Source organism: Homo sapiens, chromosome 1 (assembly GCF_000001405.40).
Source record: "Homo sapiens chromosome 1, GRCh38.p14 Primary Assembly".
NCBI lineage: Eukaryota > Metazoa > Chordata > Mammalia > Primates > Hominidae > Homo > Homo sapiens.
In genome coordinates this window covers 10,726,717-10,748,070 of record NC_000001.11, presented here as the reverse complement: position 1 = coordinate 10,748,070, position 21,354 = coordinate 10,726,717, and the positions used below count along the sequence as shown (strand labels likewise).

Genomic DNA, 21,354 nt, shown 5'->3' with positions numbered 1-21,354 from the left:
CGAGGCGGGCGGATCACGAGGTCAGGAGATCAAGACCATCCTGGCTAACACGGTGAAACCCCGTCTCCACTAAAAAATACAAAAAACTTAGCCGGGCGTGGTGGCGGGTGCCTCTAGTCCCAGCTACTTAGGAGGCTGAGGCAGGAGAATGGCGTGAACCCAGGAGGCGGAGCTTGCAGTGAGCTGAGATCACACCACTGCACTCCAGCCTGGGCGGCAGAGCGAGACTCCATCTCAAAAAAAAAAAAAAAAAGTCAGGCAGGTGAGCACAGTGTACTGTGTACCCTCTCCCAGTGATTGCTCATTCTGGAGGGGGAGCTAGGTGTGGTGAGACACCCCTAATTCCAGGCAGCTGCAGTGACCCACAAGAGAGCAGAGTGGGGGTCTTCAGTGTGGTCGACCCTGCAGCCTTTGATGTCAGCCTTTGATGTCACAAGGCAGGTTCTTTCCCGTTTCTTGCACATGGGCTGGGCTTTGATTAGGGACCCTGAGCCCACCTCACCTTCTCCCCACTCTGCAAAGCCCGGGACAGGGACTGCAGCTTCTGCTCACTCACTGGAGGTGTGCTGAGATGTGTTCTACTCCAGGGTTCTTCCCTGACATCTGGGTGGAACGCCTTTCATCTGCCGCTGGGACCTGGCCACTGTTAGACCCTCAATGGCAGCCATTGCTTCCGCCACGGTTTGGCAGGTGCTAGACTTAGCACTTGGTAAGAATCCCTGCCCATGGGATTTGGTTTGTCTGCTGGGTTGCATCTACGAAAGATGAGCGTATTCAGAACCCTGCCTCTCTCTGCAGACCCCACCTTCCCAAGGACGGCTTCCCCTTTGCTTCCCAGCCCCACCCTTAGTCTCAGGTGGCCTATGTCTCCAAGGGCCAGAGGCTCAGAGGGTATGGGGGTAGCTGGTGGAGTAGCTGGAGCCTCCTGGGGCAAAGGGTCTGTGTGTGCTTACCTTGCGTTAGGGGAATGGCACTGCCAACTGGGTGGCCATCACATGCCATTTGTCACTCCATGGACTTCTGGGCGTCCACTCCTGGTTAGCGGGGGCTATGAGGGGAGAAGCCATGGGGTCATCCATCTTGCCCACATGATCTCAGAGCTACCCAACCCCACATGGGCCCTAGAGAAGGGGCAGGGAGTGGGAGCCTGGAAAACGGCTCCTGGGAGTGGGGAAGGTGACATGTGCATCCTTTGCTCCATGGCCCAGGAGCCAGGGCTTTTGGCTTGATGGGCAGACTTTCCAGTGGGTCAAAGGCCACTCCAGATCTGAGCTTTTTCTTTTCCCTGCTCTCTCACCTCCAGGGGTGGTAGAAAAAGCTCACCCTCCGCTCTGTCCCTCTGCCCTGTGGTGGCCCCAACATGAGGCCAGACATGGGCTGGGGTCTAGGACGGCTCTAGGAGAAGGTCCCGGGTCCAGGCTGGCCCTTGGTTGGGGTGCAAGGTGCTGTCTTGGTTCTGCACCTGCCTCCAGCAGTAGGCATTGCCAGCCTTTTTAGCAGACAACCCTGATGCCAGACCCAGGCAAGGGGGCCCTCATCTGAAGCCATGGGGCTGGGAAGGCAGAAGGGATCCCGCGCAGACTCCTTCCTCTGGGAGCTTCTCCTACTTTCATTTTCTTTTTGCCACTATTTTTTCCTGGGGTCTAATTAAAGACTTGGAGCCGTTTACAGCCTGTGGTTGGCTTTTTATTTGGATCTTTGGCAATTACCTCCTGCCCTAAAATAAGTTTCGATGGAACAGGGGTAGGATTTTTCTTTTTGGCCGAGTTCTCAGCTTTAATTTTGCCGTGCATGCGTGTGTGTGCGCGCACGTGTGAGTGATGGAGTGTAATGAGGCCCTTCCCTCCCCGCTCTTCCAAATCCTGCCTCCTTGTCACTCTCTTCATCTCAAGTGTCCTGTGGCCAAGGCAGAGGCCTGGACAGCGGGAACAGTATGTCCTCAGCTTCGCCCTGCCTCGAGGCCACTCTATGATGACGACAGGCAGGTCATCTGTTGACTCTGTCCCAGTTTCTTCACCTGTGAATGGGGCCAGTGGGCCGGGCACGCCACAGGCTTCCCTCTGCACTGCTTAGTGGCAGACCTCTCACCCAGCAGAGTAAGGCGATCCCCCAGGGCGGGAGGAAGCCAGCACCACGGCCACCAGGCCTCCTTTTCCCCTCTTGATCCACACCTTGTGTTTGAATAGGAGCTCATGATCATGTGCCCAAGGCTCTTCCCCGTTTTTGTCCCTCTCAATTCTCCCAGCTTCTGTGTGAGCAGGTGTGATCACTCCATCTTCTAGACCCGTAGGGCCATAGGTGCCCTATGGCCAGAGATAATGAGTGGCTTTTCTGATATCTCTTGGCTTAGAGGGGACAGAGCATTGGGATTCAAACCCAGGTCGTCTGATCTTCCAAAATCCACACCCAGGACTGGCGACATCATTTGTGGGGCCCAGTGCACAATGAAAATGCAGGGCCTCTTGCTCTAAATTGATTCAGAATTTCACAACACTGACAGCAGGACGTTCAACCCAGCAGGTGCCCTTTGAGTATGAGACCCTGTGTGGCTGCATGGGTTGCACACCCAGGAAGCCGGCCCTGCCCACACCCCCTTGAGTCCCCTTTTGCTGTTTGCCTCTATTTCAATCCACTTGGCGAAGGGCAAGGAAGGTCAAGAAGCTGTCTGTGTTCGTGTCCCTGGTACTGTGGCTTACTCTCGCAGTTGGGGAACACACTGGATTCTTCCAATTCTTGGCCTGTCCCATCTGACCTCTGTCTTATAGGCATGATGCAGGCTGCCTGGGGTTCCCTGAGTCTCTTAGGGGACTTCAGACCTAATTAAGGCCACCCGAGACTTCATGTGAGTCAGAGGTGAGGAAATCAAAATAAAAGGACAAAGAAAATTTGGTAAGAACTCTGTTTCCTTGGGGCAGAGGGTGAAGCTTTTGGGGATCGGTCCTCCCAGTCCCACTTAGGAGCCCTGTGGGATCTTCTTTGTCAAGCAAAGCAAATGGTGACCTGCCAAAAATATCCAGGTCATACTGGGCTTTGATTGCTCTGCTGGGGCTAGAAGGTCAGGTGGCCTATTCCGTAGGCTCATCTGGAAACTTCCTCGCCGGTTGCTGGGGACTTGGAGTGGCCGTGGAGTCTTAGGGGGTATTGGGTGGATTGACGGAGCACATGGCAGACATGCGTCTGCGTGTACCGTGTACCGGGGTGCCTGTGTGCTCTGGTGAGGTCACGGCTCTCCTGCGTGCCAGGCAGCTCTTTAAATAAGAGCTGTCAGGATGAATGGCTCTCGCTGGCTACCCAGACATACAGTCCTTGCCCGCCCATCTGGGACTGTGTTCCCCTGTCGCCCAGGACATGCCTGCTCGTGGTGCCCAGGACATGCCTGCTCGTGGTGCCCAGGACATGCCTGCTCGTGGTGCCCAGGACATGCCTGCTCGTGGTGCCCAGGACATGCCTGCTCGTGGTGCCCAGGACATGCCTGCTCGTGGTGCCCAGGACATGCCTGCTCGTGGTGCCCAGGACATGCCTGCTCGTGGTGCCCAGGACATGCCTGCTCGTGGTGCCCAGGACATGCCTGCTCGTGGTGCCCAGGACATGCCTGCTCGTGGTGCCCAGGACATGCCTGCTCGTGGTGCCCAGGACATGCCTGCTCGTGGTGCCCAGGACATGCCTGCTCGTGGTGCCCAGGACATGCCTGCTCGTGGTGCCCAGGACATGCCTGCTCGTGGTGCCGTGTCTCTCTTCTGCTAATGCCCCCCACCCCACCCCCAAGAAGTCTCGGTACCAAAGTTCCCGCCCCAGGACCCCACCCTTGGCTCTCTTTACCATGCCACCTGCTTCCTAGAAACTGAATTCTGGACTTTGGGCAAGTTTCAGGATTAAATGTGTCCTAAAAGCCACAGCAGCTGTTTTTACGGGTGGGGAGGGAGCAACTTTATCTAAAATCAGGGGGCAGGGTCGGGGTGGGAGTACCCTAGGCGTAAGGGCTGAAGCAGTTTGAGTCTAAGGGGGAGAGAGTGCCCGAGTTTCCAAGGACTGATTAGGTGGTATGCCAAGTGTATTAAATTTTGCAGACATTTTAACAGCAATATGCTAGATAGTTGGGTGTCCCCTGAGGCGGCTGGATTTTTTATATCCTTCACAGAAGGTCAGAACCCTCTTCTGCCTGCCTCCCCCCGCCGCCCCATGCTCCCCGCTCCTCTCTCTCTCTCCCTCCCTCCCTCCCTTTCCTCAACAATTTCCCTCGCTTCTTGCTCTCTGCTCATCGGGTACCTAAAAGACATCTCCCATCCCGCCTGCCCTCCCGTCACGGGATCGGGGTTCTCCAAGGCTGGAGAGGGGCACAAACAGGGCACTGGATTTCTATTTTTTCTCCCTTTCCCTCTTCTCCTCCCCCCGCACCCCGCCCCCCCATTTTGGAGACTGTCATAAGACCTACTCCCTCCCTCCTTATTTTTATAGAAAAAAAAAAAGGCAGGAAAAGAATCCATCTGGCATATGAATAATTGAAATGGCTCAACTCTGTTCCTGTTGCCGCTGTTTGTTCTCAGCTCCCCCGGCCCCCAGCCCATCCCCCTGAGTACAGGTCTCTACGTGGAGGATGCCGGGGTACACTTAGAAGGTTCTCGGTGGAGGCCCAGGGCTCTCCCAGGGCTCTCCTTCATTCTGAGCCCTTTCTCCCCATGAACCGATGGGTCTGAGTGGGGGTACTTGGAGATGTAGTCTCCTTCTCCGACCGTGGGGACAGCCAGCCTCAGGCTAGAGTCTCCCCAAATATCACTCACCCTTGAATGTCTCCCTTGGCCTCTTGGGCCTCAAGGGACAGCTAACTGGACCCTGATTTCGCCCAGAATCCCCTGGGATTCTCCGGTTTATGCCCCAGACTCCTCCTGTCCCCCAGCCTCTGCCCCTCTGTCCTGAGGGCTCTAGTGCCCTGCCTGAGCTTCAGGGACCATAGGGACTCCTATTTGGGGAAAACTGGCTTTGGGAATACTCCCCGAGCTCTCTTTCAGTACTGCTTTCAGGGGGCTGCTCCACCCCCAGGAACTGGCCCAGGCTTCTTGCTCAGAGGCTTTTTTTTCTTCTTTTTTGTGAGATGGAGTCTTGCTCTGTTGCCCAGGTTGGAGTGCAGTGGCGTGATCTCGGCTCACTGCAACCTCTGCCTCCCGGGTTCAAGCAATTCTCCCATCTCAGCCTCCCGAGTAACTGGGATTACAGGCGTGTGCCACCATGCCTGGCTAATTTTTTGTATTTTTAGTAGAGACAGGGTTCCACCATGTTGCCCGGGCTGGTCTTGAACTCCTGACCTCAAGTGATCCGCCTGCCTCAGCCTTCCAAAGTGATGAGATTACAGGCATGAGCCACCACACCCGGCCAGAGGCTTCTAACTCCTCACCAACCCATTCCCCTTCCTCTCCTTCCTTTCAATGCGCTCAGATAAGGGCTTGACCCTGACTGGAGGATTTCAAGTTCTTCACTTCTAGATTCAGCCTTTTTATGGGGAGCCATGAAAGACAGGGATCTTAAACTTTGTTTTCTGCGACAAGTTGAGAGAAAGCACATGGGCAGGAGGTGAGGCCAGGCCAGGGACTGGGGAGAGAATGGACTCAGGCCTGGCTGGAATCTCTGCCTGTTCACTTTACACAGCCTGGACCAGCTACACACCAAGCCCCGCGTCCGAGCCGAGAATTCACTGTCTCTTTAAAACCATTTAGAGGAAAAACAAAATAACTTTAGTGCATTAATTCTAGATGAAGATGGGTCTCCAGATGACAGCCTGATCCACATTATTCCCTGCAAGACAACTTCCCCTCTCCTCCGCCCCCTCCCGCCTTCCTGCCCCTCTGCCCAGCTCTTTGTCCTCCTCCGTGGTTCTTGCTTTCTGAAAAGCGGACACCGGGGTGGCATGAAGCCTAATCGTGTGCTTGATGTTTGAGAAGTCAATGCTTCTGTCTGTTTGGGACATCACGTTCATGTCATGGGTGAGGTATTGACTTGCAGCCGTGGACCCTGTGGTTGCAAAGTGCTGGGAGCCAGTGTGTCTCGGAACCACCGAGCAGCCGTGGTGGGGTTGCGGCTGGGGGCACGTGAGAAGCGGTGAGGGGTCCGTGTCTCGGCGCTTGCTGGGTTAGGCACATTAGGTCTCAGAATAGCACCAAAATGTTCTAGATCTCTCCTGGCTTTGGGGGAAAAAACACACAGATACGCACAAACTGCCCAGTAAGCAAAAAATAATTCAGATGAGATTCGAATCAGGTTTGTTAATATATAACTATATATATATATAAATATGTATAAAAGTCGTTTGTAAAGACTCCTACACATGTTATAAAAGCTGCAAAATGTCTGGCATTCCAGGGCCTAGTAGGAATAATTAGATATTTATATCCAATAAAACTGGTTTGATGGGGAAATTGTTTCCCTCCTTGTGGATTCTCAGTTGAGGGTGAGTTTCGGTGGTTGGGTTTGTTTTTCTCCCGGATAATAAAACCAGGGGTTTGGCACCAACAAATGTATTTCCCGTAAATATCTAAATCTCTTTTTTCCACCGTGAGCTCTGCTAGACCAGCCTCATCACGCCAGCCCTGCCCATGCTCATCTTTACTGGAGAGCTGTGTGCGCTGAGCACCCTCAGCCTGGGCCAGTGCTGGAGCTTGTGTGCACCTGTGTCTGCTCCCTGTGCCCTGCCGCCCCCACCCCCAGGACAACTGCTGGTGGCTCTTTTCCAGGCTTTGCTTTGCTGTTTTCCTCTTTGAACAAGTCCCTGCCCTCATGTCGTTTAAAGCCCAATATAGAGCCAGGCGCAGTGGCTCACGCCTGTAATCCCAACACTTTGGGAAGCTGAGGTGGGTGGATCGCCTGAGGTCAGGAGTTGGAGACCAGCCTGACCAACATGGTGAAACCCCGTCTCTGCTAAAAATACAAAAATTATTGGAGGTACATGCCTCTAATCCCAGCTTGGGAGGCTGAGGCAGGAGAATCACTTGAACCCAGGAAACGGAGGTTGCAATGAGCTGAGATTGTGCCATTGCTCTCCAGCCTAGGCAACAGAGTAAGACTGTCAAAAAAAAAATCTAAGTGTTTTTTAGACTTTTTTTTCTTTTTTTTTTTTTTTTTGTCCAGACAGGGTCTCACCCTGTCGCCCAGGCTGGTGTGCAGTGAAGCGATCATAGCTCACTGCAGCCTCCACCTCCTGGGCTCAAGTAATCCTCCCACTTTAGCCTCCCAAGGAGCCAGAACTACAGGTGTGCGCCACCGCAACCAGCTAATTTTAAAAAAAAATTTTTTTTGTGGAGACACAGGGTCTCACTGTATTGCCCAGGCTGGTCTTGAACTCCTGGCCTCAAGCAATCCACCCGCCTTGGCATCCCAAAGTGCGGGGATTACAGGCATGAGCGATTGTGCCCTGAAATTTTTCTGATTTTACTAAGCACTTCCTACCCGCAATTTGCAGTTTCTCTTCCTCCACCTCCTGCTTCTAGACCCTTCTCTCCCACCTCTTCTGAGCTCTGCTTGGCCTCCCAGCCTGTTGCCTTCAGGGCCTCCACCATGGTGTGGCTGCCCTGGGGAGACACTGCCTCAAAGCCCTGGCTTGGGGGGACCCTCAGCCCTATCTTCATTTCTCTCCCATCTGTTACACAGGCATAAGCCAGAAGGAGCCATAGATCCCCAGGACCTCACTCTCCCATTATACAGATGTGGAGCTGAAGCCCGGGCTGGGGCGCATGGATTAGTGGGAGGGGCTGTGCTGGCTTCAGGTTCCTCACTGGAACGGGGCAGAGCTGGGGCCTGAAGTGCTGCCCTTGACTTCCAGCAGGTTCTGGGAATGGGGAAGATACACAGGCCTTGCCTCGACACTGAGCCACTGTGAGACATTGGGCAAGTGGCCTTGCCTCTCTGAGCCTCACTCTTCCAATTTGTGACATAGAATCGGTAACTCGTATCCTATGGGGTTGCAGAGAGGAGTGAGTGAACTAAAACCTAACAGGCGCCTGGGCTGGTGCTGGCCAGGGGGGCAGCTTTCCTATGGGGTGGTGGTAATTGGCATTCATCCTAGCTGCAAATGAGGACACGCTGTGACACCGGGCCACTGGAATGAGACCTTGTCCATGGGCTCCACCTGTGTGGTGGGTTGGCTGTGGTCCCTTTCTCCCTGAACGACTGAGTTTCGCCCTTTCAGGAGGGACTCGTCTGGGATCCCAGCACCTTGCGGCTTCCCAGGTCTCAGCCTCAACTCATTTCAGCGGGGAAGGAAGAGCCAGGACCAGTGGGGGAGGTGGCAAAAGGCATGTGCTAGAGAGGTCAAGGTTTAATCGGGAACCAGAACCCCAAAGAGAGGGCCCAGAGAAACAGGAGGGAGGAGCTGCAGGGCCTTTGACACAGAGCCACCCTGGCCGGGACATTTGGGCCAAACTATAGCTTGGACTCTTGAGGAGCTGGTGGCCCTGTTGTTTTGATCAACGACAAGAAGGCCCCTGAAGGCTCTTTGGGGAGTGGAAGTAGCCAGCAAGGCTGGGAGAACGGGGAGTGGGCCCGGGGGGCGGAGGGCTCAGGGAAAGGTCTGGAAGCCTGAGTGGGCGCAGCTGAGCTTAATTACAGAGCAGCGAGGGGAGTGAGAGCAGACCGCCCTTGTGTGGGCCACACACATGCTGTGCCCCATGCCCTTCCCTGCGCATGTGGTCCTCCTCCTCCTCACCGTGGCCACCCTGGGCCCGGGCCCCTGGGAGGGTTTCCCTCGCGGTGACACTCACAGAGTGGCACATGTGAGCTTCACCTGCACCCCTACCCAGAGAGACAGCAGGGGTGACCCCCAGGCGCACACACCCCCCTCGTGAATGCACCCGTCCCGCAGCTGCAGGTTGCACCGCACGCTGTACGCCCGGGGACTGGCCGCCGGCCTGAAAAGAGCAGCCACCCTCCACAAGATGCCTGGGTGACTTGTTTCTCGTTATTGTTGTTGCTTTTTTTCCTTCTTCCCCCGGACCCCCAGCAAAATTTTAAAAAAGAACTCAATAAGAAGCAGAGCCCAAGCTTCCTATGACTGGTTCTCAGAGAAGCCAGTCAAATCTCCCCTTGTTGAGAACATTTTGACAGCATAAAATTGCTGCCGGAATGTGACTTTAGCGAAAAGTGAAAAAAAAAAAAAAAAAAAAAAAAAACCTTCCTTCATGCATATGGAGTTTTTTGGAAAAAAAAAATGGTATTTTAATGCTTTCTATTAAATTGGGACTAAAAGTGGTGTCTTAATTTGCATGCATTAGCATATTTGCATATAGATCACTGAAATGGTGGAAGAGAGAAGAGCCTTTAAATGAAAATTCTTTTAAAGGCACAGGCCTGCCTCCCTCTCCTCCCCCTCTCCCTGTGGGGTTTACGCTTGATCTTTTCCTCTCACCTTCAGCCCCACCTTTGTGTCCTCCCTGCAAAGGGCCAGTTGGGTCGAGGCCCTGCCTCTCTGAAGCTGGTTTGGATGGGGTCGAAGGGCTGGAGAAAGCCCTGGCCCAGGTCGCCCCATGGCCCTGCAGCCTCCTTGTGCGGGCAGGATCCCACCTGGCCTATCCTGGCAGTGGCTCTGGAGGAGGAGCCTGTGTCCACAGCCAGCAGGCAGGTGGCCTCTCTGCCAGCCATTGTCCTCCCCCTTCCCCGGCCTGCTGTGGGCACCCGTCCTGCCAGCCACTGGCCTGGGCCTTTGGCCACCTGGCACCAAAAGGAGGGGGTGGGTGGGGTGCTCTGCGTCCTTCCGGGTTTCCTGCCGCGTCAGCGTCCCGGGACTGAGACATTCTGGGCTCCCCATTCCCGCCTTCCTCACCTGGAAGGCCCAGGCGGCCCTGTTCCCTTGGGTCTCTGGTTCAAAGGCCACCTCTTTAGAGGTAGCTGAAGCAGCCCCACCTCTCTTCTCGGTCAGTCCCTGTCACTCTCCTTGTTTTATTGCCTTCATAGAACTCATTAGTTGTCATTTATTAGTTGCTCGATTGCTCGTCCCCACCCCCACCCTTGCCAAGGGTAAACTCCACGAAGGAGGGACCTGCAGCCGTCCTGTCTGGGGCTGCCCCACCGGCACTTGGACAACATGAGGCACATTGTGGGTGTTGAGTGACTATTTGTGGAATGAGTGAAAGGGGACTGGGACCCTACCAGGGCTGAGCTTGTGTCCCCAGCATCACTGCCTGACTGCACCCAGCGCCCCACAGGGCTGTGCCCAGCCTTCCCGAGATGGCCTCAGCCTGGCAGGAAGAGCAGGCCTGGAGTGGGCCGGGGCCTCCGGGCTGATCCACAGCCCTCCGAGCACCTCGGCCCACTGTCGCTCCTTTGGGCGACAGGCTGGGGCCAGGCCCTGGCCTTGGTGAGTGGGAGGCCCGGGTGGCCTGTGCTGATCTTGTAGCTGCAGGCAGTAGGAGAGGCTAATGGAGCTGAGGGTCCCCCGTGGCAGCCCACAGACCCCAACCCTTACAGCCATGTAACTCCCTTGGGCACCCTTCTTCCAGGTCTGGGAGGTCCCCCAGATATCTCAGGGTATGCAAACAACAGCCCAGCTTTCTGTGTCTAGATTGTGCTCGCTGGTGGGTCACGTGTGGGTGGCTGGAGTCCTAGGGAAACCCCACCCACTTCTCTGCCCTCCAGCGGGGCAGCCAGGACGTGAGGTCTGGTCCTTGAGTTCTGTGTCCTCTCTCACTTCACCGCTCCGGTGGGCTGGGACTTCTGAAGGCCCCTCCAGGCTGACGGCAGCCCTGGGCTCCATGCCCAGCCTGAGAGGGGAGGGCCCACGAGGGTGAGGGGGACGCCCAGGGTTGGAGCGGGGCTGTGCCTCCACCGCTAATGAAAATCGGAAACCAATTGAGCAGGACAAGGTGCCCAGCCAGCAGGTTGTGGGAACGAGGGGCCTAATGGATGTGGCTGGGTGGGGAGCGGATGCCTCATTGATCGCCCAGTGGCTATATTTATCCACCTTGGTCTGTGGCCCCAGCAGCTGGATGGAGCAGGGATAAATAAATGGCCACTGAAATATTCATGAACTGCACATGTACATCCGTGGTCAGGGGACTGCCAAGGGCCTTCTCTTCCTTCCTTCTCCCCCTCTCTGCAGAAGCCTTTCAGGAAATTCCTCCCACCTGGGCCAGGTGAAGTGTGGCACAGCTCCAGTGGGCACTCAGCCCAGCCCACGGCCCCAGGAGCACCTGCAGGCCCGGGCACCTCCCACCCAGGCGTGCCAGTCCCTGCCTTCCCCTTGTCCCCATAGTTCCTCCCACGTCCCTGTCCTTCAGTGATGGATTGGACACGTGGGGCTGTGGCTGTCTAACTGGCCCTGTGTCCGCTACTAGACCGTGTACTCCTCAAGGACAAGCTGGTGGTTCACTCGTCCTTATTTCCCACGTGGCCTGGCATGGTGCCCGACACATCCTTGAGAGAGGGGCCTCGTAGGTGATGAATGAGAACTCAGAGTTGGGTTTGAATCTCCGCTCTGCCCTGTGTGTTTTGGGGAGTGATCACGCTTTGCTGGACTCCATGTACTCATCTGCAAAATGGGATTAGTAGCAGTGTTGCCAGCGTTTCTTAAGTGTGGGTCTGGGACTGCCCAAATCAGAATCCCGGGTGGAGCAGGTTAAAAACAACAAGCCCGGCTCCATCCAGACTCACGGGATCAGAACATCCCAGGGAGGGGCCTGAGGACTCCCCGGGTTCGGGGTTCTCAGTGCCATGCTGCTCACTAAGGTCTGGAGCTCCCGTCTCGTTGCCTGCTGATCCCTTTGTCCAGGTGGCAGATGCTGACCGTGAGCCCAGAGTTACGTGTGTGTTCTCTAGGACCTGAGTGATGGGGACCAGGAGTGTGAGGGAGGCAGGTGCGATTCTGAAGCGTCCATCAGTTGGGCATTCTGGTGAAGCTGCCTGGCTTGGGGGTTCCTGGAGACTGAGCTGAACTTGGCACAGTGGTCCTGGGTGGCAGGGCCCAGAAATGCTGCCAGTACCGCCCATCAGCAACAGGTGGGTGGGGTTGGGTGTGGCCACTGGGACATCGTTCATGACTTGGGGTGGTCTGTTGCAGGACAGAGTGATCTTTGGGGTTTCCTCTGCCTTTAATGCTCTGCATTCTCCCCCTGTCTTAAGGAGGTCAAACTGCCCTGCCCCTGGGTAGGAGAGAGTGGTGTCCGCAGGGCAGCTACTTGACCAGAGCTGGCTGAAAAAGCACATTTTCAACCTGATGTGCCTGGGGCTGCCCCTGATCCTAAGCCACTGCCTCTGGGCTCCCTGACTACCTACAACTCCCAGTGTCCCCTTGGTGCAGCCCAGAGCGAGGCACTGATGGCCTGTCAGATGACACTGGGCCTGTCCCTTGGTAGGCAGATGCCCGTGACTTGAAAAGCATTTGACCTCATTTAACCGAAGGAACTGAGGGTTCAGCTGGCCATCTGTGGTGGGTTCTCTGAGAGCTCAGGGCACAGAAACCGGGAGAGTCATTTGGGATGGGTAAAGGCAAAACTTCTGTCCGTGGCACTTGGCTAAGAGGCACCAGCCATCCCTCCTTCCTGCAGCACACCCCCTCCCCCAGGCAAAGTTTGATCCAAACTTTGGGGACAGCCCTGGCGCTGCGTGGAGCTGGCTGAGCCTGCAAGTGGCAGCGGGAGCAGAGGGAGGCAGCCCTGGCGCCTGACTCCGCCAGTCCCCCGTCCCCTCCCAGAGCTCCCGGGCCTCGCCTGCGTTTGCAGGCGCCTCTCTCGTCAGCTCAGAATGCAGCTTGGGGCCCGTGGCGGCTCAACCTTTCCCTCTCCCAGAGCCCCGGTCTAATCAACCCCTATAATTTATGCAGAAAATATGATTTATATTTAATTTCACCACACTTGCATTGTTAATTTGAGATGTAATTAACCCGTCGCCATGACAACTAATTTTGTGATGCCGTAAATTACCGCCGTCTTTTCATCAAAATTCAGTTACTTTGGCTCCTGTGTGCAATGTACTGATGCAATTAGGTTGCTAAGGGCAACTCAAAAGTGTTCAATTTCTTTTGTGCAACTGCAATGGGGTAGAAGCTCCCTTGCGTCCTCCCAGGGTCCCGTTGGTCATGGGGCGGGGAGTTGAGAGTATGTGGCCGCCCTCAAGGGATGCCTCTGGAAAGCCGGACTGGGTGGGCCCTTGTGGCCCCCCACTTCTCTCTCTCCCACCCTCTTCTCTCCAGTAATTGTTTTTAAACAGTGACCCCTAGATGCATGCTCCTCAGATCCTCCGTGGCACCCCAGGGCAGGTGTAAAGGGCCCTCTCCTTAATGGCATGGACTGTGCCATACACCTTCCACCCCCAAACATTGTGGTGCTCCGGTTAGAGAAAGAGAGAAAACCACATTGCCTTTCTTCTCTCCTGGTGTCTAACTTGTTTATATAGATCTTCCCTTCTCCCTCTCTCTCTCTTTCTCTCTCTCTTTTTTTCTTTACTTAAAACAAAAACCCTCTGTGTTGCTTTTGTCACGTTAATTCCCATTTTGCCAACACCAGGGGCCCAGGCAGACGAGTTACCAAGGAACACAAAATTTTAATTAGTGTATTTTAATCATTCAGGCTTTCCGAGCTAATCCACATGCCCTAGAGAATTCCCGAGATGCAGCTCTGCCCTGCTTTACCATTTATTGTTGAGTCTATTATAATTACTGTTAGCAGGTGGGGACTGGGAGATGTTTATTATGAGTTTTTCATCTTTAGTATAATTACCGAAAAAAAACAAAATAAAAAGATGTCGTTGTATTTTGTTTCCTAGAATTTTTTTTTTTTCCAAGGGAGGGCACGGCCATGGGATTTTTTTTTTTTTTTTTCTTGCTTCTTCCCAGGCAGGTGACTTGGAGTTTCGGTGCTGGAAGACACACTCCTTGAGATCAGCATGAGTGGTGCTCAGTACTCCACAGGCTCAGGAAGGGGGGCGGCTGCCACCTCTGCCTGTCATCTGCTCGGGCAGGCCCTGGGGTTGTCCCCTCCCACCCATGTGTGCTGTTGTACTTTGAGAGAGCAGGGCTGGGGATGTACCAGCGCTCCTCCTGGGCTGGTGGCTCTGCCTGGTTGGGTCGGCCTGGGGGCCTGGCCAGGTGGACCTGTTAGGGGTGAGACTAGCACTTTCGCTAGTTATTAATGTAACAGTTAACATTTATTCACTGCTTAGTATGTGCCAAGTGCTGTGCCACGCCCTTTAGCTGCATTATTTCATGGACTCTCCTTCAGCAGCCCTGTGAGGCAGGTGCCAATATCACCTCTGATTTTATAGAAGAGGGGGCCAAGGCTGGGGATCCCAGAGCTAAGAAGTAGCAGGGAAGGATTCCAACCCAGCTGTGTCCCCAGAGTCCAGGCTGCCCAGTACTGACTACACTGTACTGGTTCCTCTGAGCTCATCTTCCAGGTCTTATCATAGATGCCACCTCCTCCCAAAAGCCTTCCAGGATTAGTGGAGACTGAGTTGGGCCTCTCTTCATATATTCCCACAGCTTTACAGTCTCAGTGCCCGTCCCTGAGTTATAGTTGCCCGGTAACTTCTCTGCTCACCTCTGAGAGCAGGGACCAGTGAGGGTGGAGCCCTTTTTGCCATTGTCCCTGAAGAGCCTCTAGCATTTAATGTGGTCCCTGATACAAAGCCAGCTCTTGGGAAGTGTGTGGGATGGACAGGCGTGCAGGTGGCCCTGGTAGGGTGCTGTACCATGAGCTTCCTCTCGGCAGTGGCGAGTGTCAGGGTCTCTGGACACAGAGGTTTAGCTGGTCGGACATGCCACTCTCAGCAGAGGCCACAGAGCCTGTGTGTCCCTGAGCTTCACATTCTTGGAGGAAGGATGATCTGGGGCCCCAGGTCAAGTTTGGGTCCTGTCCTGGGGACTCTGGGTGTGAAATGAAAACACACAGCCTTGTCTTTCACATCTAGTCCCCCGTGCTGGAGGCGACCCTGGGAAGCCTGGCCTGCCCTCTTTCTTTCCTTTCTCCTCTTTAAGATCAGTTTTCAAATGTCTTCCCCTCTCAGTGATGATTTTGAAGTTTCCCTGGAAAATTCCACATCTCTGCTCTAGAGCCAAGCCTGGGGCCGAGGACCATGGGCTTTCCCAGGCAGAACAGAGCAAGGTGAGCCAGAGCCCGCCTTTGCTCATTTCCAGCCTGGTTACCCCCAGGGACCAGTGGGGGAAGATAATTAACACGTCCCTGGGAAGGGGCCCAGGGCATCCTGTGAATTGCACACTGGTGGCAAGACTCCCTGTTCGGCTCTAAATTCTTAGGCACCCTCTCCACCAGCTCCTCCTTATGCCCTGATGGGGCAAGTGTGGCCCAGGGCAGTGTTACCTCACCTGGATCCCACGTCCCCTGCACTGCTGCTGCCACCATGGGAGCCAGACCCTTTTCAAGTCCAAGGCAGAAGGGGCCACCTCCCCGGGTGATTCTTTTACTACTTGTAGGACCATCTCCCCCTCCTCTGCCTCTGCATCCCAGGGTCACCATCCTGCCCGAGGTTGAATCTCTCACCTAGGATGTGATGTGTAATTCCCCTCAGATATCCTGGCAGCATCAGTGAAGCAGGCCCACACCACCTCTAAGGCCAGCTGTGGGCCAGAGAATCATCGCAGCTGAAGCCCTACTCCACTGCGTTCCACCACGTGTATTTTCTGCCCCTAGTTCCCCAAGACAGTGGTTCTCACACCTGTTGGTCTCAGTGACCCTTTATGATCTTAAAAAGTATTGGGGCTCTTAAAGTTTTGGTTTGTGTGGAATATATATATATATATTTTCTTTTTTTTTTTTTTTTGAGACGGAGTCTTGCTCTGTCACCCAGGCTGGAGTGCAGTTGCACTCGGCTCACTGCAACCTCTGCCTCCCGAGTTCAAGTGATTCTCCTGCCTCAGCCTCCCAAGTAGCTAGGACTACAGGCCTGTGCCACCACACCTGGCTAATTTTTATATTTTTAGTAGAGACTGAGTTTCACTACGTTGGCCAGGCTGGTCTCGAACTCCTGACTTCAGGTGACCCTCCCGCCTCACCCTCCCAAAGTGCTGGGATTACAGGCATGAGTCATCATGCCTGGCCTGCATGGATTATATATATGGATATTTAGCATATTAAGACATTAAAACTGAGAAATTTTAAAAATCATTATTTATTAATTCATTTAAAAAATAACAGCAATAAGTCCATGATGTGTTAACATAAAGAACATATTTTTGAGAATAACTGTATTTTCCAAAACAAAATTTTAGTGAGAAGAGTGGAGTTGCTTTACATTTTTTGGCAAGTTTCTTTCGCATAACCTTTCTGATAGGTTGTTTTGGTTGAAGTCTATGAAGAAAATCCAGCTGGAGACAGATGTGTAGTTGGCAAAGGCAGGAGTATCTCAAGGGCCTTTGCAGACTATCACAGACTCTCACAGGTTAGTTCCAAGGTGGAATCTGAAACCACATCAATGAACTTTGTGTACTGTTTCAGTAAACCCCACTGATCTATAAGCACTTCGTTTTGTTTTTCTGTGTGTGTTTTGTTTCTGTTTTTAAGTCAGGGTCTCTTTCTGTCACCCAGGCTGGAGTTCAGTGGCGCAATCAGAGCTCACTGCAGCCTCAACCTCCCAGGTCAAAGGATTCTCCCACCTCAGCCTCCCAAGTAGCTGGGAGCACAGGCGCATGCCACAATGCCTGGCTACTTTTTTTTTATTTTTAGTAGAGATAAGGTCTCACTGTGTTTCCCAGGCTGGTCGCAAACTCCTGAGCTCAAGTGATCCTCCTGCTTCGGCCTCCCAAAGTGCTGAGATTACAGGCATGAGCCACCACGCCCAGCTAAATTATTTATTTATTTATTTTGTAAAGATGGGATCTCACTATGTTGCTCAAGCTGCTCTATGAGCACTTTGAATGACTCATTCCCTGATGTGAGACTTTGTAACCTCACACATCAGTTATGTGGAAAATACTGGCTCACTGAGGAATGCAGGTCTTCAGAGTGTTGACACATTTCATTATATGATTTTTTTTTTTAGACGGAGTCTAGCTCTGTCGCCCAAGCTGGTGTGCAGTGGTGAAATGTTGGCTCACTGCAACTTCTGCCTCCCGGGTTCAAGTGATTCTCCCGCCTCAGCCTCCCAAGTAGCTGGGATTATAGGCACACGCCACCATGCCCGGTTAATTTTTGTATTTTTAGTAGAGATGGGGTTTCACTATGTTGTCCAGGCTGGTCTTGAACTCCTGACCTCATGATCCACCCACCTCAGCCTCCCAAAGTGCTAGGATTACAGGCATGAGCCACCATACCCAGCCTATATGATGTTTTTTAAAAATCACAGTCATTAGTATCATTACTGGTCTCATCAGAAAAGCTGTTAAGTATTAGGATGCCGTCAAGGTTGCAGTGGCAGATATAAGTTTTCCAAAAGTCTGATTTTCACTGGAAAGCTCAGATTTTATCATTGGCAACAAATATTGTCAGGTTTTTTTCCCCTGGAAGTGACAGGCCCACTTTGTCCACTTTTGAGAAAATAGCTGCCAAACACTCAAATCTGAAAAATCACAATTTGTCTGTCAGTCACTCTTTCAGGTAAAGATGGTGTTCCCTGGAGCAGGCAGCTGGTTCCACTCTCAGCTCAGTCACACGGGTCCATGTCCTTCAGACAGGCATTGGACTCGAAGGCCCTAGGCATGCTTCCCTTTCATCCTCCCCGAATATTCAAAGGATGCATACTCGAGGGTCAAGACTTCCTAAAAGTTAATCATATTTGCAGCTTCATCAAGGACATTTTAAAGTGAATATGGGGCCGGGCGCAGTGGCTCACACCTGTAATCCCAGCACTTTGGGAGGCCGAGGCGGGCAGATCACCTGAGGTGGTGGGCACCTGTAATTCCAGCTACTCGGGAGGCTGAGGCAGAAGAATTGCTTGAACCTGGGAGGCAGAGGTTGCAGCGACCCGAGATCACACCACTGCACTCCAGCCTGGGTGACAGAGCAAGATCCTGTCTGAAAAATAAATAAATAAATAAATAAAGTGAATATGGCTTGTAATCCCAGCACTTTGGGAGGCTAAGGCGAGTGGATCACTTGAGGCCAGGAGTTCGAGACCAGCCTGGCCAACATGGTGAAACCCCATCTCTACTAAAAATACAAAAATTAGCCAGTTGTGGTGGCACAGGCCTGTAGTCCCAGCTACTCTGGAGGCTAAGGCAGAGAATTGCTTAAACCTGGGAGGCGGAAGTTGCAGTGAGCTGAGATAGCACCGCTGCACTCCAGCCTGGGCGACAGAGCGAGACTCCATGTCAAAAATAAAAAAAAAAATAAAATAAAGTGAATATGGCTTTTCTCGAGCTGGAAGGGCGTGTGCTGAGGAACACATGCCTTCTCACACACTGCTGTGGTCTGTGCCGGGACGCCGGCAGTTCCGCTCACCCGCTGCCTTTGCGCTGTCAGCGTAATGTCCCCACGTTGAATAGGGCACGTAGAAACTGTGTTCCACTATGGGGACTTTATGGCCTCCTGAGAGGGTCTCGGGAAGAGGCCTGCGGACCACGCTTTGCGAACTGCTCCCCTAAGCCCCCCAGGGCTCTGGCACTTGGTTTCTGCCATCTGAAGGGGCTGAGTTCTTGGCCTGATGGTGGACTGCCACTCAGCAACTCCTCCTGGCTCCCTGGACTGTCCGGGACAGATGAGGAGCTGCGGTGGGAAAGATAGCTAAGGGGGTGGGGGAGTTCTCATGGGGTGGCCGGGGAGAGGGAGAGGAGCCACCTGGGCCCGGCTGCCCCGCAGTGCCAGCCTGTGAATGTGTGCATGCTCCTGGCCCACAGCTAGAAGAGCCTGGTCCTCCTCCCCCAGGAAGCCCCCCTGCAGCCGTCTTGCTTCCCATTAGCGCCAGCGCAGGCCTGTCTTGGGCCCTCTGGCCTCCCGCCCTGCAGCGGCCTAGTTTCCCATTGGCCACCTGCCTTCAACGCCGAGGGCCTGGGGGGCAGGAGCCGCAGGCCGGCCGCCCCCTCCTCCCCACCCCTTCCCTCTCCTCCCCACTCCCCTTCCCCCAGCTGCCTCCCAACCGCCTCCCCCAGCATGGCAGCCTGTCCAAGACAGGGTTTTGTCCCCTCGGTCCGGGCACCGTGAGAGTGACAGAAAATAGCTGTCCGGAGAGTGGGGGGGGAAGGCCTCTTGTTTTCACCTCTCAGGGGCTGGTTTTCCCAACTTTCCCATCCCAGCTCCTGTGGAACAAAGGGCCTGCGGCCCCCGTGTGCTGGGCCCGGCCCAGCGAGGGGACTCACCAGCAACTCTTTATTGAGTCTTCAAGCGCCGGCCAGGCACTCCATTAAAAAGCCATTCCCCTTTGTGCAGCCCGGCCCCCAGCTGTCCCCCCTCTCATGTGACGGTCGGTCACAGTTGTAAAACAACAACACACAGAGTTGGCAACTAACGAGGCTTTTTTTCAAGCCGGGGTCTCCATGGCAACCCCCGTCAATCACCCCTCAGGAGCGCTTTAACCTGACCAAGAGGGGGAAATAAAAAATAAAATAATAATAATTAAAAAAAGAAGCCAAGAAAGAAAGAGTTGGAAAGAGAGCAAGAGGCCAGTAGACAGCTGGGGAGAGAAACAATTCAGAAAGTTTCTGGGGTTTGCGCCCTCGATTGGAACACAAATGAAAATTTAACCAGTGGGACAGGATTGTCCTGGTGACCGGAGGGGAAGGACGTTCATTTTCATTTTTAGATAGTTTGCACATTGCACCTAGTTTTACAAAAGCTTCTGACCTTTTCCCGTGGTCCATAAAATGATGGTGCGTGGTTGTCTGTGGGCACAGAGGGGGCGGGAGGGTGGTCCCATGGGCCCTTAGAGTAAATGGATGGTCCCAGGGGCCCAAACCCAGAGGTGCCCAGTTGATGGCCTCAGGCCAGTGGGAAGAGCCATTCAGAGCTTGGCTAGAGTCCAGCAGGGTGTCTGAGTCCTCCCGTGTGCGGCCTGGTGCCAATGGGGATAGCCCACAGTATGTGGCAGGCATGGTGCCAAGGGGACACTGGAAGGCCCCATACCCAGTGCCATGTGGGGAAGGAGCAGACCTACCACCGCGATGTGTTGACGGGGAGCCCGGAGCATAGGCGGTGGTAGGACCCCTCGTTCTTCACGTGCTGCTGTGCCAGCAGATGCCCAGTTTCTGGGCACGTGGCATCGCGCCCGGGGTTAGTTCAACCTTCCACGTGTTGGCATGGTGCCGGGGCATGGCAAGCCTGAGTTCTCCCCCCAGCTCACCCCCAACACTCATACATGCTGTCTGGCCACTAGCCAGGGGCTCCACAGGTTCCCAGGTCGGCACAGTCTGGGCAAGGGCTGAGGGCAGCCCTGGCAGCTGCTGCCTGGCCTTCCTCAGCCTCTGATCAGGAACGAGGTGAAGGCCAGCTTCTCAGCTCCACTTTTGCTTCCTAGCACCCTGAACCCTAGGGTGCAGACACTTTTTCTTCCTGGACATGGTGGGAAGGCAGAAGTTCCTATTGTAACTCCTGGCACCTTGGGAAAGGGGTTTTCTCATTCTTGGAGTCTAGGAACCTGGCTTGGGGGCTATGGGGACCAAGGAAGAGAGTCCTTCAGGACAGAACCGTAAAAGCTTCCCAACTTTCAGAGGGTGGGCACTGGGGCACTGTTGGGCTGTGCTGAATCCCCTGGGCCCGGGGGTTCAAGGAGCTGGGGTGTTTGTGAGCTTCTGGGAGGCTGGGTTGTTTTTTTTTTTCTTTTCTGGACTTAAAAGGCCTTGTGCAAACCTGGTACCCAGAATAGCACACATGGAGAGTTGTGAATGAAGAGCTGGATGGCCGATGACCTGGAGTGGGGGCTGGGGCTGGGCTCAAACAGCAGGTGCCTTATGGCTCTGCAGCCCCTGCCTGCAAGACGCCCTGGTCTCCCAGCTTCCCACAGGCCTGGGACGGTCGCGGGCCTCTCCCTACCCCTGGCCACCTCTCCCTTTTCCCTCTTCCTTCTCCAGGCTGTTTCCATGCCACCCTCCCTGGTGGGCTGGGCTTGACATTGGCGCCCATGGCTCCCCCTCTGCCTTCGTTTCAGTCCTCCTCACTCACAGGCTGTGTTCTCTTCCAGAGTGGGTAAAGTGAAAACCTTGCCAGTCACCTCTCCCGGTCTCCCTCCCCTCCGTCCTGGCTTTCGTGATAGAGAAACTGGCCAGGAAGCCCCACATGGTGCTATTTACCTGACACCTCAGTGGGTTTGGCAGGTGCTGATTCATTCCCTGAACCATTTCCCCCAGGACACGGAGCAGGCCAGGGAAGACCCCCTGGGCCTCTGAACACCCCCATGCTAGCCTCTCCCTGGCCTCTCTTCAGGGCCTGGGTGATTGCTGCAGCAAGGACCCCCCAGGGACCAGAGCGGCCTTGGCTGGGCCTCATCTTCATGTCTCCT

At 54.3% G+C, this 21,354-nt stretch overlaps 1 protein-coding gene across 4 annotated transcripts in view, besides 8 other annotated features; it reads left to right on the top strand.

Annotated features, from left to right (window-relative positions):
* CASZ1 (castor zinc finger 1) overlaps positions 1-21,354 on the top strand; it is a 160,043-nt gene that overhangs the window by 48,576 nt on the left and 90,113 nt on the right. The window lies entirely within an intron of this gene.
* Positions 1,620-2,543: an enhancer, noted in NCBI's record as "H3K4me1 hESC enhancer chr1:10805585-10806508 (GRCh37/hg19 assembly coordinates)". NCBI's record gives its function as "activates a minimal SCP1, AML or CMV promoter by ChIP-STARR-seq in naive H9 embryonic stem cells {active_cell/tissue: H9 hESC(naive)}" and the evidence as "EXISTENCE:reporter gene assay evidence [ECO:0000049][PMID:30033119]".
* Positions 2,642-3,841: an enhancer, noted in NCBI's record as "MED14-independent group 3 enhancer chr1:10804287-10805486 (GRCh37/hg19 assembly coordinates)". NCBI's record gives its function as "activates an origin of replication core promoter dependent on BRD2, BRD4, P300/CBP and CDK7 cofactors, and independent of MED14, by STARR-seq in HCT116 cells {active_cell/tissue: HCT116}" and the evidence as "EXISTENCE:reporter gene assay evidence [ECO:0000049][PMID:35650434]".
* Positions 8,887-13,022: an enhancer, noted in NCBI's record as "VISTA enhancer hs2094". NCBI's record gives its function as "enhancer in: hindbrain (rhombencephalon)[5/5]" and the evidence as "EXISTENCE:transgenic organism evidence [ECO:0001131][PMID:17130149]".
* Positions 8,887-13,250: a biological region, named in NCBI's record as "VISTA enhancer hs2094".
* Positions 12,748-13,250: an enhancer, noted in NCBI's record as "H3K4me1 hESC enhancer chr1:10794878-10795380 (GRCh37/hg19 assembly coordinates)". NCBI's record gives its function as "activates a minimal SCP1, AML or CMV promoter by ChIP-STARR-seq in naive H9 embryonic stem cells {active_cell/tissue: H9 hESC(naive)}" and the evidence as "EXISTENCE:reporter gene assay evidence [ECO:0000049][PMID:30033119]".
* Positions 13,964-14,013: a silencer, noted in NCBI's record as "silent region_253". NCBI's record gives its function as "represses an Ori minimal core promoter by ATAC-STARR-seq in GM12878 lymphoblastoid cells {active_cell/tissue: GM12878}" and the evidence as "EXISTENCE:reporter gene assay evidence [ECO:0000049][PMID:35858748]".
* Positions 18,893-19,689: an enhancer, noted in NCBI's record as "H3K27ac-H3K4me1 hESC enhancer chr1:10788439-10789235 (GRCh37/hg19 assembly coordinates)". NCBI's record gives its function as "activates a minimal SCP1, AML or CMV promoter by ChIP-STARR-seq in primed H9 embryonic stem cells {active_cell/tissue: H9 hESC(primed)}" and the evidence as "EXISTENCE:reporter gene assay evidence [ECO:0000049][PMID:30033119]".
* Positions 19,690-20,487: an enhancer, noted in NCBI's record as "H3K4me1 hESC enhancer chr1:10787641-10788438 (GRCh37/hg19 assembly coordinates)". NCBI's record gives its function as "activates a minimal SCP1, AML or CMV promoter by ChIP-STARR-seq in primed H9 embryonic stem cells {active_cell/tissue: H9 hESC(primed)}" and the evidence as "EXISTENCE:reporter gene assay evidence [ECO:0000049][PMID:30033119]".